This window comes from Homo sapiens, chromosome 12 (assembly GCF_000001405.40).
Source record: "Homo sapiens chromosome 12, GRCh38.p14 Primary Assembly".
Taxonomy (NCBI): Eukaryota; Metazoa; Chordata; class Mammalia; order Primates; family Hominidae; genus Homo; species Homo sapiens.
In genome coordinates, this window is record NC_000012.12 from 41,987,208 (window position 1) to 42,003,529 (window position 16,322).

At 43.1% G+C, this 16,322-nt stretch overlaps 1 long non-coding RNA gene across 1 annotated transcript in view; it reads right to left on the minus strand.

Annotated features, from left to right (window-relative positions):
* Nucleotides 1–227: 227 nt before the first annotated feature.
* Nucleotides 228–16,322, minus strand: part of LOC105378247 (uncharacterized) — a 39,168-nt gene continuing 23,073 nt past the window's right edge. The window contains exons 3-4 of the long non-coding RNA XR_944875.4: nucleotides 1,682–1,973; nucleotides 228–315 (exon numbers count right to left, since the gene is read on the minus strand). This is a non-coding gene — a long non-coding RNA (uncharacterized LOC105378247). The remainder of the gene's footprint in view (nucleotides 316–1,681; nucleotides 1,974–16,322) is intronic.

Genomic DNA, 16,322 nt, shown 5'->3' on the forward strand with positions numbered 1-16,322 from the left:
GGATTGCCCATTCCCCCCACATAGAAGGCAAGTGAGCAATAGTTTCTTGTACTCTCTTTTAGTCAAGAGTGGATATAATCATAATGACAATAACAATAATGCACAAAACAAGTATTTCATTAATACTTTCTTTCCAAAAAAAAAAAAAATGAAATGCTTCATAGGATTCTCCACAAGCTAGGGTCGGCATCTCACAGGGGGACTTAAGCTAGCATAAACAAACTCACATGGTTAGCCTTGTCTGGACTGTGTTGGGAGTAAAACAGCTCTCCTCCATCCCAAGCAGGGGGACTCTGGCATATGTAGCTTCAGATACTGCAGAGCCAAACAGAATAGAACAAAATGGATGCTGTTTTTTGTACATTCTGTTTATTTCAGCTAGTAAATATACTTACTATGAGCCATAAATACATGTTATTCACATCCTACATTTTTAAAATTTTTTTCTTTATTCCATAGGCAATGAAAAGCCATGAAAATTTTCTGAACAAGCAAATGACATTGTCGAACTTGTGCGTAGGAAGACAACTCTGGTGGCTGTGGGAAGGATAAACAGGATGATGGAGAGACTGAGGGGTAGCCAGATAAGGAGCTCCTTGCTAAAGATGGTGCCAGGCCAAACCAGGGTAAAGACAGAATGCTCAAGGGGGTGATAGATAAAAGAAACATTGCAAAGAATAAAAATCTCTAGCAGTTAGCTCCAAAGCTGTTCAGTAACTTGTGTTTCTACTTTCTTAGCCCTGTTCACAGGTCTCCCTCCACCTCATCACTCCCACCTATGAACTCAAACCAAACACATCAGAGGGATGGGAGAGGGAGAAGCAGAAATGATGCTGAAAAACCAGCTAGAGGAGAAAGACATGTATGGATAAGCTCTAAAGTAAGAAGACATTCTGGGGTGATTTTACAGATGCCTGTGAACCCCTGCCCATGTGCTCCAGTGAATGGTGACTGACCATATGACCTGCTCAAATGGCTGGCTGTTACCTGCCTCCAGCCAAAAGGGGAGAAGAAAGCCCATGGGTACAGCACAGTAGAAAAAGCACAATGTTGGAGTTAATTGCCTGGGGTTTGAATACCTGTATCCACCCTTCTCTCCCCATCTCTGTGTGATCTGGGGCAAGCTATAATCCTCTCTGAGCCAGTGCTTCCTTGTCTGAAAATAAGGATAATACTCTCATTAGGATTGCTATGAAAATAGTCATATGCAGAACTGGCATTCCTCAGGGGCCTCATAATTAGTAATGGTTATTATCAGCCACACAAATGTTTCTGTACTGGGGCTCAGAGACAATGCATGACTTTTCCAGGTTTGCACAATATTATCATTATAAAACCAGAACTCCAAGTCATGGTGTCTATAGTATTTTTCCCCTAAGGCTGTACTTCCAAAAAAAACCAGGGACGAGAGACACTTCCTCCTACATAGCTTCATGTTCTCTGTGTCCTCTGCATACTTTCTTTTGAGATCCTGAACAATGTCCAAGGCAAACCACTAAAGACTTTCATTCCCACTATCAAACACTTTTTTGCTTCTACGGTGTCATTTCCTTTAGCCCATGTTAAACTTTTTGAATGACATAATTTACAGCATTGTTTTATGTACCTATTGTGACACAACAAACTGCCTCAGAAGTTACTAACTTGAAACAACAATTTGTTATTTTTCTCAATTCGGTACCTTGGCTGGGCTCAGGTGGATGGTTCTTCTGTTTCACATGGCATCAGCTGGGATCACCCTTGCAGCTGCCTTTAGCTGGGAGCTCAGCTGGAAAGTCCAAGATGGCTTCACTCATACATGTGGTGAGTCTGTGGGTGTGACTGGGATAGCTGGGCACTGTCTTGGCTTCTCTCTCTACATATCTTTCAGCTGTCTTGCTCAGTCTTCTTTACATAGCAGCTGGCTCCCAAGAAGTGAAGCAGAAGTTGCCAGGCCCAGGCTCAGAAATCCAGAAGGTCACCTTCACTGCATTCTGTTGGTCCAAGCAAGTCACAAGGTCAGGCCAGGTGCAAAGAGAGGAAAATAGAGCATATCTTTGGATGCGGACATCCTTCCACAAGGATAGGGAGAAATTGTTGGGAGGAAGTATTGGTGACCGTCTTTGAAAGTACCCACCAGAAATATTATTTGTAAAATCTGGGTTTCAGAGTCCATAGAAAACTACTCAATTATGACTTTTTAGAAAATATCTCATCCATTCACAAACAAAAGTTATTTTGTGTAAACATTCTAACAACTTTTACCCTTGATTTCCTCGGAAACATTTATTTGAGGATTGTAGTAGATTGGATAATGACCTTCAAAAAGACATCCAAACCCCTAGAATCTGTGAATGTGACCTTATTCGGAAAAAGAGTGAAGATGTAATTAAGAATCTTGAGAGAAGATCTAACTAGATTACCCAGGTGGATCCTAAACCCAACGACTAGTGTCCTAATAAGAGACAAAGAAGGAGAAAACACATAGAGGAGAGGTAACATGAAGATGGAGGCAGAGGCTGGAGTGATGCGGCCTTACATCAAGGAAGCCAGTGAATGCCTGGGGCCACTGGAAGCTGAAAAGGCAAAAATGGATTCTCCCTTACAGCCCCCAGAGGAAGTATGGTCCTGCCAACACCTTGATCCAAGACTTCTGTCCTCCAGCACTTTAAGAGAATACATTGCTGTTGTTTCAGGCCACCCAGTTTTCTGTAATTTGTTATGGCAGCCATGAGAAACTCATACAAGTACCTTCCCTCTTTACGATTAAGACTAAATGTTTGCCTACCATTTGGGGATTGTGATTTATAAGGCAATGGCTGTGACTCTTGGCTCCTATTTCTCCACACACTCAGCAGAGTTATCGAGTAAGGGCTTTACCAGAAAACTCACCTCTGTGGAGGTCCTGAGCCAATCCTGACAGGAACACATAAGATGTTAGAAGTCTCTGCCTCGCCAGATCCTTCTGAAAACATCTTGCTGCTCACAGTTACCTGAGCCACAGCCCCTCCCTACATCACCTTCGCTCATTCCTGGGTGGACTCAAGCTTTGGGATCAGACAGAGTTGAAGTTGCAACAGGATAACATACATGTAAATTCTCAGAGCTCTTGCTTCTTTCTCAGTAAAATGGAATGATATCACCTTCCTCACAGATCTACTTCAAAAATTAAAATTAAGTAAACCATCTGGCACATAGTAGGACCTCAAGAAATGGTGCCCATTATCACTACTACTTTTAAGCGGTACACAGTTGCTTATCTGTTTCATATACCTGATGCTCAGTGGGGCTGGAGCCATACTCTAAACCCCAATCTGATTAGCAAAGCCTCTGACCCCTTTCCTAACCTTTGCCAGCTAATTTGCCCCTCCCAAATCAGCTGCCCTCCATGACCCTCTGGCCTCAGCCTCCCAGGTAGCTGGAACTACAGGGATGCACTATCAAGTCTGGCTAATTTTTGTATTTTTAGTAGAGAGAGGGTTTCACCATGTTGCCCAGGCTGGTCTAGAACTCCTGGGCTCAAGTGATCCTCCTGCCTCAGCCTCTCAAAATGCTGGGATTACAGCCATAAACCACCATGCCCGGCCCGGCTTCTGATTCCGACCTTCCCCTTCACACAGGTTTTACTCTCCAACAAACTTTTCACACTCCTAACTCCAGCTCCTCCTCACTGGACCCAGCTGACATCTACCCTACCACAGTGGTTCTCAAAAATATGTAGTCCCAAAACCAGCAAGCATCATCAGCATCACCTGGGAACCTATTAAAAATGCAGATCTCAGACCCTAACCCTAATCCAGACCTACTGACTCAGAAACTCTGAGGTGGTCAGGCCCAGCATCTGTATGTATGTAACAAGCCCTCTAGGAGACTCTGACGCACGCATTCTAAGAACTGCAGCCCTACTATATTTCAGTAAGAGTTCACATTACCTGATTGCCTCTGCAGTAAATGAATCACCTGCCTGGGGTTCTGTAAGAGATGCTGCTACCCACCTCTGCAGACCACTCAAATAAAGAGGACTACATCGTTTGCTGGGCAGCAAGACCTTGCCAAAACCCAAGGCTGCTTTCTTTTTATTATTATTATTATTATACTTTAAGTTCTAGGGTACATGTGCACAACGTGCAGGTTTGTGACATATGTATACATGTGCCATGTTGGTGTGCTGCACCCAGTAACTCGTCATTTACATTAGGTATACCTCCTAATGCTTTCCCTCCCCCCTCCCCCACCCCACAACAGGCCCCGGTGTGTGATGTTCCCCTTCCTGTGTCCAAGTGTTGACACACTGGATAGGCCCAGTTTCTGTCTCTCCAAACCCAGACTCTCACCCGCCTAGCCACTCCACTGGAAGTAATGGAATCAATGCAGTAAAGTTAACAGCAAGGTCAAAATCAGAGTTTGAACTGTAAAGGTACAATATCTGACATTTATTTTGCCAACTGCTTTCTATAGCATCTCAAGTGTTTAACAAATAATACCTTCTAATATTTAATTTTTCAGGGCTCATGGTGTATTTGATGCTTCATAGGATGTGGATTCAGAGATCAATTTTATCCTGCTCTTAAATTCTGCATTTATCTTGCCAGGACCCCGTGAGCTAGGCTGTAAAAGCAAACCATGTTGACAAAATTCGGAGCCTACTGTAAGCACCCAACCGCTGGGGTATTCCTTGCACTGACCCACCCTGGAGCCAATCCTCAGCCTCTTTGGCCCCTCCTTGAAATAGTTCAAATAGATTCTGTTATTAAAGCTTCCTCCTTAATTACTGACATATGTGCAATTCAGGTTACTTTCTTGCAATTATGTTATTCAGCAATAATTGGATTTCTAGTTTTAATTGGACCCTAAATTAGCAATAGCTTTCATGAACACCATTACAGTGATTTCTAGCTATAGTTTTTGCTGCTTTTTGAGTACATTATATTTCAAACAGAATGAATCACCAGGAAAAGAAGTCACAGCTGCAGTGAACTCTTGCATGGGTTCCTATTAATGATTAAGAGTTGGGTGCTATTCTGTTGTAACTAAACATTTGCTACAACTATTACCCACTGAGCATTGCTGTGTCACAAGGCTGCCTCCTGCCCAGGATGAGAGCACATAATTGTGTTGGGATGAAGATCCAGCCACATGACTAGATATTTACTCAGCTAAACGGGGAAGAGAATCTTTTTCTTACCACCTGCTACTGCAGATAAACACTTGAAAATAAAACAAAAGAAAACCAAACTCTTCTTAAAAGCTGCTGAAATCAAAATTTTGCTGAAACTACCAAAAGCATAATCCCATTGCTATCTTCCTTTCCTAAAGGGACTATTTACTCAAATCAGTGCAACAAATATTTGCTGAGCATTGGCAATGTGCTGGTTATTGAAAAGGATGCTAAGCTAGTAAGAGACAACATAGTGATGTGGTTAAGAGCATGAGATTTGGAGTCAGGCCTCCTGGGTTAGAATTACAGCTCTGCTGCTTCTTGGCGGTATGACCTCCAGCAAATTACTTACTCTCTCCGTGGTTCTTTTTCCTTATTTGACAAATATACCGCAAAGTTCTTGTGTGGATTAAATGACTTCCTACATGTAAAGGACTTTTTAAAGCACCTGGCACATGGTAAGCACTTACTAATGCTCATTTTATTATTCTAGTTCAAGGTAACAAAGACGTCATCTGTCTTGTCCATCACTGTATTCCCTAGCCTCCAGAATAGTGACTGATTGATAGATGATAAGTGCTCAAGAGATGTCTTTTGTCTAATAGGGAAGCCCAACACTACAGGAAGTGCCCAAAGAAGGGGGGAATTTAAAGAAGAGAGGAATTAGATCTAGTTTGGGAGTGTATCAGTCAGGATCTTGGCAGGAAACAGAGCACATTCAAAGGGGATGATTAAAGAGCATTTCATGAAATAGCTACTTAAAAAGTTATGGGGGCAGATTAAGAGAAACAAACAAAAATGGTGAAGGATCACAGAGTCAGCAAGAACAGAGAACTATTACCACCCATCTTAGTCCATTTTCATGCTGCTATAAAGAACTGCAGTATTCTGGGTATTTTACAAAGGACAGAGGTTTAACTGACTCACAGTTCTGCATGGCTGGGAGGCCTCAGGAAACTTACAATCATGGTGGAAGGGGAAGCAAACATGTTCTTCACGTGATGGCAGGAAGGAGAAGTGTCTAGCAAAGAGGGAAAAGCCCTTTATAAAACCATCAGATCTCATGAGAACTCACTCACTATCATGAGAACAGCAGCATGGGGGTAATAGTCCCCATGATTCAATTACCTCCCACCAGCTTCCTCCCACAACATGTGGGGATTATGGGAACTACAGTTCAAAGTGAGATTAGGGTGGGGACATAGCCAAACCATATCACAGCCTCAGACTCACAGGGGCCCAAAAGAGCTGTGGAGAGAGCTCCTGACAGGAGCAATGGCCTTCAGCAACGAGTACAGTCTCTGCTGACCTCCAGCCACACAGGAGGGGAGCCAGGGGAATCAAGACCCTGACCTCTCTCTCATGTCCTCTGATCTTGTCCTGTTGGCCAAACCCAATGGGAAGCAATATATGTGATTCTTTATTTTTGCATTAAATAATAAAATCTAGACACAGGTATAGTAATGACCATAAATTTGAAGTGGAAATAAGTGAAAATGCTATTTTTATACATCTGCTAAACCAATAATGTAATATGGAAAAAAATCCATGGTTTTTATGGCCAAACAAAGTTTCTTGGGGTTTGTTGCCTATATTTATAGTTGAAGAAAATGCTAAATTTCAGCTAGAAGTTAATGAAAATAAAGATGTAGGGTTTTTGTCTCCTCCAAGTTCACGCACTCCTTGAATTAAGTACCCCTGGCCTAGTCCTGTTATGCCTGTTTTCATCTTCCCAATAGGCAGAGGCTACTGAAGGCAAAATTTACAGGGCTTTCCTAGAGGAGTGTTGATTCAGAAGGCCATTACTTTCCTCTTGAAGGGAGACTATGGTTGAGCTAATTAGATTTGTGGAGACTTTTCTGTGTCCCTGTAAAGCCTAATACATAGTATGAGTGAGGTGGTCATGGATAACTTATGAAGACCATCTCATTAGCCTATAATCATTGCTCATAACATTTATGTATTCAGCAAATATGTACTGAGCATCTACTATGTGTCAGACACTGTTCTAGATACTAGGGATACATCAGTGGACAAAAGAGATTTTTTAAAAAATTCCTTGCTCTCATGAAGCTTAGATTGTAGTTGGGGTGAGGGGGTGAAGGTTCAGACAACAAACAAAAATAAATAATATAAATGGTATCATATGTAAAGAGGTGACAAGTACTCTGAAAAAATATATAGAACATTTTAGGAAGTATAGAGGACCATGGGGAGGGTTGTAATTTTAAATGAGGTAATCAGAGTAAAATTTATTATTAATAAGAATGTGAAGTTTGGCCATGCATGGTGGCTCATGACTGTAATCCCAGCACTTTGGGAGGCCAAGGTGGGTAGATTGCTTGAGTCCAGGAGTTCAAGACCAGCCTGAACAACAGGGAAAAATTCCATCTCTACAAAAAATTAGCCGGGTGTGGTGGCACACACACCTGTACTCCCAGCCACTCAGAGGCTGAGGTGGATCACTTGAAGCCCAGGAGGTGGAGGTTGCAGTGAGTCATGATTGTGCCACTGCACTCCAGCCTGGGCAACAGAGAGAGACCCTCTCTCAAAAAAAAAAGCCAGGCGCAGTGGCTCACACCTGTAATCTCAGCACTTTGGGAGGCCAAGGTGAGGTGGGCAGGTCACCTGAGGTCAGGAGTTTGAGACCAGCCTGACCAACATGGAGAAATCCCGTCTTTACTAAAAATACAAAATTAGCCAGGCATGGTGGTGCATGCCTGTAATCCCAGCTACTTGGGAGGCTGAGGCAGGAGAATCACTTGAACCCAGGAGGCGGAGGTTGCAGTGAGCCAAGATTACACCATTGCACTCCAGCCTGGGTGACAAGAGTGAAGCTCTGGAAAAAAAAGGAAAGAAAGGGAGAGGGAGGGAGGGAGGGAGGAAAGAAATAGAGGAAGGGAGGAAGGAAGGAAGGAAGGAAGGAAGGAAGGAAGGAAGGAAGGAAGGAAGGAAGGAAGAAAGGAAGGAAGGAAGGAGGGAGGGAAGGAAAGAAGGAAGGAGGGAAGGAAGGAAGGAGGGAAGGAAGGAAGGAAGGAGGGAAAGAAGGAAAGTTAAGTTTAAGAAAAGACTTTAAGGAGGTAAGACCAATCACACTACCTTAACAAATTAGTTATCTCACCCAAAAGCAGCCACACATTCTTCTATGTCAGTAGGAGCAGCACAAGAATGGATTTAAGAATCCTTGTCCCTGTCTTCTCTTTGAAAGTTGACATTTTCTGGACATAGTTTCCTCATCTCTGAAAGAGGAGAGCTGGACTAGGTCAACAGTTATAGAACTATCACCAGCACACCCTAGGGTGGTGGGGTGCATCTGGGGTGTTGGAGAGAGATGATATGAGAGGCTAAGTAGACAAAGACTTGAGTCACTTCCCCAACTTCAACCTTTGATCTGTTTTATACAATGGGGCCGCAAGTCAGATTTTGTTTTTAAAAAAATTGTTTCCCTACAAACCAAAGGAAAAAAGTTTGAAAGCCATTAAGTAGTGATTGAAGAATTTTTCCTTTTAAATAATTGTCATGATCCAAAAGAAAAATCTTGACAATATTGTCTACTGCTGCCTGCATGTTCACTTCTCACAGCTTGCCATGACTTCACTACTTCTTTTGGTTTTATTTCATTGCTTTCCACACAGAGGTATTTACAGTGATGATCATGAGTTTCAAAACAAGTCTAATGAAACGTGCATTTTCTTAGGATTCTGAGTTCCCAGAACAAACAAGCATTGATTTTGGGAACCAAATTATACACCACCCGGTCGAGGAGGAGGCTGCCCAGGAGGGTAAAGCGTCCTGCGTCTCCTTGCCCTACCAGCACCATGCTACCCCAGCATCCCTACCTGCTCCACTAATGCATTCCCGATTAATTTTAATAAGGAAATATCTGATTATCCCCATTTAAAAGAGTCTTCCAACCTACACACACACACACACACACTCACACACACACACACACATGCTCACCCACAGGAGTTTTCTAATAAGCGATAGATCCTTGGTACAGGGTCCCCTTCAGTCAGATGTCAGACATAGCACAGCCACATAACTGATTATATTGCTCTCCCCATAAATATTCTACCACCAAGGAAGAGATTTATGATATTGTATCTTCAGTTCAATTTTCAGAACGATTTACAGCTCACATATATCCAAAAACTTATTACCAACTGCATTATTTGAAAACAAAGCGATAACCTGCTATCCTCCAAGAGGACCAAAGGAGGCTTCAGCGGCGCCTTCTATCTATCTCCACACTATCTCTGCCACTCCTATTACTATAATAAATATAACAAACATTTTAAGTGAAATTACAAAGCACACGGGCTACATGGTGGGTAGTAGTCTATTAAGTGAAAAGCCTTCAGAGGACCACATATTTGTCTTCAGACTGGGAACCTTGACAAGACTTTTCAAGAAACAGAGGGGCCTAAAGCAGAGATTGTGCCGAGAAACAATGAGCCCCTGGGAGCATATTCCTGCTGATAACAACCAGCTTTCGAAAATGCGACACCACATAGCACAGAGGCTGAGTTTACTCATTCTTAATGTGCTGCATCCACCTGACTTCATGGCTTAGGTTCCATCCCTAAGCAGACCCATGCAACCTTGCAGTGTGTTCCTATTAACCCCAGATGCACATCAGAAGCCCTGAGGGAACTTCAAAAGAATATACTGATTCCTAGCCCCATATTTAGTGATTCTGATTTAATCAGTCTCAGGTAGGGCCTGGACATCAGCATTTTTCCAAAGCAGAACTGCCCCCATCCCCAACCCATGATTCTACCACTAGAGCAGAGTTGAGAACCTCTGACACGATGGCTGTGAGCTTTCAACTCTGCAGCTGTGAAGTACAGCTAGCAGGCACGCACTTTGACAAGTTGTGTGAATGGATATACAGGTCCGGCTTGTTAACCTTAATGGCCCACACCAGTGCCTGGCACACTTTAATAACTCAAAAATATGGGTTGAATTAACTGGTGCATAAACACCAAGTTCTGGGAATGGTATTACATCTTAGTCATAAATAAATGGCAGCTAATATTGTTATTCAAAATGCCTTTTAAAACCTTTTAATTTATAGTTTTCTCCAACAAAAGTGTTTTATTTGACTCTTGTTTTTCCATCCTAAAGGCATTATTTACTTTCTGGACTAATCTTTTTAACATTATCACATACTATCACATGATAAGGAGAACTATGAAATTCAGTATAAGAAATGTACCAGCACCCAGCACTGGCACGCATCTTTCTACCCTGAAATGTTTTCCTATGTCCTGTTTCAGTGGTACATTGGAGAAGAAATGCACCTTATCTCCATTTGCCATTCCTCATGTATTGAGAACATACTTTTAACATACCATGACTAACTTCATACTTTCATGAACATTTATGTCCATAAATTCAACATTCTTGCAAAAACTGAGCAAATATCTGTTTGTAGAAGCAAAATCACAAGAAAAATGTCTGTGTGTCCATTTTCACTTTGGTTTCAACAGCATCAAAGTCCTTTGCCGTTCAAGCAGTAGGGAGACACTGGTCATATCTCTGCTGGAAATGAACCTCATGGTAACACAGTACAATCATTCTGGCCCATTTCATTGATTGGTGCCTGTAGCCACACAATCAATCCCCCTGGGGAAGTAGCTTTCATGATGTGCACTGGTAATGAAGGCAGGTGAAAGAGTTGGTGCCCCTGAGCTGCATTCCAGGGACCATCTTACATTATTGTTTTTGCGGATATATAATTGCAAGCTCAATTATACCAGAGAAGGGGAATTTTGAAGAAGTAGCCGGGGACCTTGCCCACACAATGAATGAACCCATTTCATTAAGATTCATCCCAAATTCCTCCTTCTTTCTCAGTCCAGATTCCTCTCCACTTCACTCAGGCAGCACTGTGATTCCCTTATATTAACCTTCCTTTCAAATCCAAGTACTTCATAGTCACGATTTAAAACTTTTGAGTTTCATTCAGATTTTGTCCCTTTGAAAGCCAGCTTCAGACTCCTCTTTAAAATTTGAATAACGTCTGCCCCCTCAGCCAATCAGGCTGGCCCCTGCCATATCCTTTTGAGGTGCCTGTCCCCCCAGGATTGCCTGTAATGCTTGCATCTTTGAAAAATATCTGTAATAAAAATTCAAATACATTCAAAAATGAACATAAATAAAACATAATTTCCTCCAAATGATTTATAAAATACTAAAACATTCACTTCCCTGTCTTCTGCCTGTCAAGAGCGCAGCGGCACGCATCCTTGGGGTGGCGGAGCTGCTTCCCTTTCCCCTTCAGAGGCCCTTCCTCGGCTCGAGCGAGGCGCTGCCTTGGCAACACAGAACACCCCAAAGCCTGCCAGCCTCCACAGCACCTCGCTCTCACTTTATCCATCAAAGCAGCGGCATGATCCTATCCATGGAGAGACGGGATAGCTCTATCGTTCCTCCTCAGGGGGCTCGAATTTTAGGGGAAGGGCTGAGATGGAAAAACCTGTCGGGACAGCAACAAGTGGGGTGCAGGGGAAAGACACAATCACCCCGTGGGGATTTTTCCTCTACCCCCAATCTGAGTGAAAGGCACTGTGGGAGAGTTTCACTCCTCTACCCACCTCAGCCTTCCCCACTCCCTGCCAGCCCCCAATTCCCTGCCTCTGTAACCATGGAGATGCCTGGAGTGGGTCCAAGGCCGGGAGTGGCACCCACAAAATCCCCTGAAGGGCATAAGAAAACACAGTTGCTGGGGCCCACTCCAGAGTTCCTAATTCAGTTGGTCGTGGTGGGCCTCAGAATCTGCATTTCTAACACATTCCCAGGTGATGCTGAGGCTGTGGGACTGGGAACCACACTTTAGGTACAACTCATCTAGGTTCTCAGGAACCAAGGCTCCCTTGATGGGACTCCAGTGGGAATGCCGTTGTGCTCAAAGACCTTTCTGCGGAATAGGATGTGATCATATACTATCCTGAGAGGATACTGATCATGTCATACTCCATAGAAAGACTCCAGAGCTATGTGATTTCCAGGGAATTCTCTACGTGCACACACTACACACACACACACACTTGCAGGAAGATGCAGGGCATGCTGGGAATAACTCAAATTAGGCACACAACTTATTGGCTTGAACAATTGACAGACTAGCGAAAGAATAAGTATAAAAATAAATAATTAGAGAACAATGTGAAAAGTGCTTTAGAGACAGTATCAAATGCTGTGAGAGTCCCTGGACTGAGACCAGAAGAGTTAGGAAAGATTTCAAAAAGGATGCAGCATTTGACCCAGGACTCAAAGGATGAACAGAAGTGGAAAGGATGAAGCAGGGAGTTCGGCAATCAAAGGACCAGATGTAAAACCAGCCAAGACAGCTGAAAGAGCCTGCTACTCACAGAAAACAAGGAACTTCATGTGTCTTCAAGGGAATGTTTGGAGATTCCTGTATATAAGGCCTTAAATACCAACCTGAGTTGAATCTTGAAATAGCTCAAAGATTTTCAGGTAAGATGTGTGTTTGCATGAGAGACCAGCTCATTATTCTTCTAAAACCAAATTTGGGCTCCAGTCCAGTTCACCGAAGCTGTCTGTGCCCTTCGAGGCCATCCTGGAGTTTGAGGAATGGTTGGCCACAGAAATCAAATAGGCTTAATACATTGGCTGGGAAATTGAGACATCAGAGACTATTCCACACCCTGCCATCTGAAGATACTGAAAGGGTAGGATCTGGCCGGGCACAATGGCTTACGCCTGTAATCCCAGCACTTTGGGAGGCTGAGGTAGGCGGATCACTTGAGGTCAGGGTTTCGAGACCAGCCTGGCCAACATGGTGAAACCCCGTCTCTACTAAAAATACAAAAAAATTAGCCAGCATGGTGGCGCACGCCTGTAGTCCCAGCTACTTGGGAGGCTGAGGCAGGAGGATCACTTGAACCCAGGAGGCAGAGTGTGCAGTGAGCCTAGATTTCACCACTACACTCCACCCTGAGTGACACAGTGAGATTCTGTCTCAAAAAATAAATAAATAAATAAAATCAAAGGGTCAGTTCTGTTCAAGACCCAAGAAGCTCACCTGGAGCTGACCCTGATGGGAGCCTTCAAAGCTTGGCCATGTGATCAGGAACCATGCAAGCCAGCCACCTGAGTGTCCTGCTGGTGATGATGAGGCCATGGAGACCGTGCTTGATGGGCAGCCACTGGACTGGACACACACGTGAGCCAAGTGCATAATAATGATAAAACGTAATAAGATCGCTACTGTACAGGTATAAATTTTGCAGTCACAAACTCAGATGTACAAAAATGGAACTTTAAAAAAATTGTGTCCCTAAAATCCTGGCCACCTTAGCTGTCAAAGTGCATTCCACCTGAAGCAGAAAACTTAGTCTAGTCAGTTTCAAGAAAACTTAATCCAAAGTTCTCACCCTCTGCTTTTAACTCTTTTTTTTTTCAGCCCACCAGAGATTCTTTCAGTCGCAGGACCTAAAGCAGCTGCCTGTTGGAATAGAGCGTCCTTTCTCCATCTCAATCTGCCCCAGTCACACGCTGTGTCCGCTACTAATATAACTAATATATACTAATATAACAGAGGTTCTCACTGTTCTGTCACTAACCACACTGTAGCTGCTGCTGAGCCATGCAGGCTCCGCCCTCCTCTCTGGGCGCCAGAACCATGCTGCTCACCTGGAGCCTTCTTGTCTGGATGGCAAGGCCTCCTGGGTCTCTGGCCACTCTCAGCCACTTCTTCACCCCTCCCAAGACTAGAGAAAACTTTCCTCACTCTTCCACACTACTTCAGGGGCCAGGAAACTTGATGATAATGGGCTGTAAACTCTTCTCTGCTCATGCAAACCACTCCACCATTTTTAATCTACTGGGAACTCCATTGGTGCAGGGGACCCTGGATCTAAGTGGCTTTCTGTTCTCTCAGACTTCACCTAGGAAGAAAATCACAAGCATCCCTGCCTTGGAACTTTCCTCTAGACTTACCTGGGCTTTCCATTGTCTAATCCCTGCCAAGGACTCATCCCAGGAGGTGTGGGATTCCTTCTCCAACACCCACCAGCTGTGGTGATAGCCCCTCCCTCTAATTCACCTCCTACTACCAACCAATTGAACTTTTCTGTCTTTCTAATCAGTAAAATTTGCCACTTAAAAAAAATAAACTTCAGGCCGGGCGCGGTGGCTCACGCCTGTAATCCCAGCACTTTGAGAGGCCTAGACAGGCGGATCATGAGGTCAGGAGATAGAGACCATCCTGGCTAACACGGTGAAACCCCACCTCTACTAAAAACACAACAAATTAGCCGGGCATGGTGGCGGGTGCCTGTAGTCCCAGCTACTCGGGAGGCTGAGGCAGGAGAACGGCATGAACCCAGGAGGCAGAGCTTGCAGTGAGCTGAGATCACACCACTGCAGTCCAGCCTGGGTGACAAAGCGAGACTCCGTCTCAAAAAAATAAATAAATAAATAAACTTCAGCTACTTCCAAATTATTTGGATCATATACCTTGATCATTCATTTGTTTATCAAATATGTATTGAGAATCTAGGTGTTAAGTATGTTCTAAGCACTTAGGAAGAAGCTCTACACTCATGAAGCTTACATGCTAGAGGGAAGAGATGAACTAGAAACAAAAAATATGATATTTATTATTACACAATTACAATTAGCATGTGTATGATAAGATTATAGAGCAGATGTATTGATTAAATTGTGTATTAGAAGATGGTATGTGCTGTGGGAAAAAAATCCCAATGCTAAAGGCTGAACTCAAACCAATAAATGAGATTCTATAGGTTGGGGGCCATGGCGTTGGTATTTTTTTAAAAGCTCCCCACTTTTAATGTGCAGCCAGACTTGAGAACCTCTGCCTTATGTCCATGAAAGCTATCACTATTGCTCTGTGGGAGTTCTTTTATTTATTCATTAATTCATTCAATAAACATTTAGTGAGCACCTACTATTTTCTGTCATTGCTCTAAACACTGGAGATAAATCAATGAAGGAAAGAAACAAAGTCCTTACTCTCATGCTGTTCACATACCAGAGGATTATTTTTTCCTTCAACATCTCATTTAATTCTCAAAACCTATGTATGCAGTGATCATTATTAGCCCTATTTCCCAGGTGAGGAAACTGAGCCTTGATCAAGTTCAGAAACTACTAAGTGACAGAGCCAGGACTCACACACAGGTCTGGAGGACTCAGGAGACCTCTCTCATAATAGCATTTCCCAGGGAAAGGCCTTTATTCATGCTTTTTTCATTTTATTTTCAGTGCTTCATGATGGGTCTGTTTCATGATGTAATTTAATGGATTAAATTTGAACAGCTGGAAATTGTGTAACTGATTACATTCAGCTTCCTTCACAAATTGCTAATTTGATTCACACCTGCTGATGTGACACCTGGAGGGAGTAGAAGTGGGTGGGTGGTTAGGCCTCTCCCACATATGTGCTAACTGATTGGGTAAAATAAAGGTTATTTTAAAATCTCAAATGGGCCATGACTTGTGATTAGGCAGACCACGTAGCTATCATTGGCTTACCTGTTGGAAACCTGGAAATTATTTTAATCAAAGCTAGTGAATTCTGAAATCAATTTTTATTAAATCCCTCTATATATGAGATCATATATTTATAGGACATTCTAACTTTTGATCAGCACTTCATATTCAGTACAACTGTGAGTTATTTTAAAGACACATTCTGTTATGAGCTCAACTGTGTCAGCCTTCTCTCCATAATTCACATGTTGAAGCTCTAACTTCCAGTACCTCAGAATGTGACTGTATTTGGAGATAAGGCCCTTCACTTAAAAGCCTCTAAGGCCCCAAATCTATCTCCAAATACAGTCACATTCTGATTCAGTTAAAATGATTAAGTCGCATTGTGATTAAGTTAAGGTGAGGCCATTAGGCTGGGTCCTAATCCAATCTGGCTGCTGACCTTATAAGAAGAGGAAATTTAGAAACACAGAGACACCAGTAATGTGTGTGCACAAAGACCATGTGAGGACACAGTGAGAAGGTGGCCATCTGCAAGCCAAGGAGAGAGGCATCAGGAGAAACCAGACCTGCTGACACCTTGGTCTTGAACTTCTGGCCACCAGAACTGTGAGAAAATAAATTTCTGTAGTTTAAGCCACCCAGTCTGTGGTATTTTGTTATGGCAGCCCCAGAAACTAACACACATGCATAA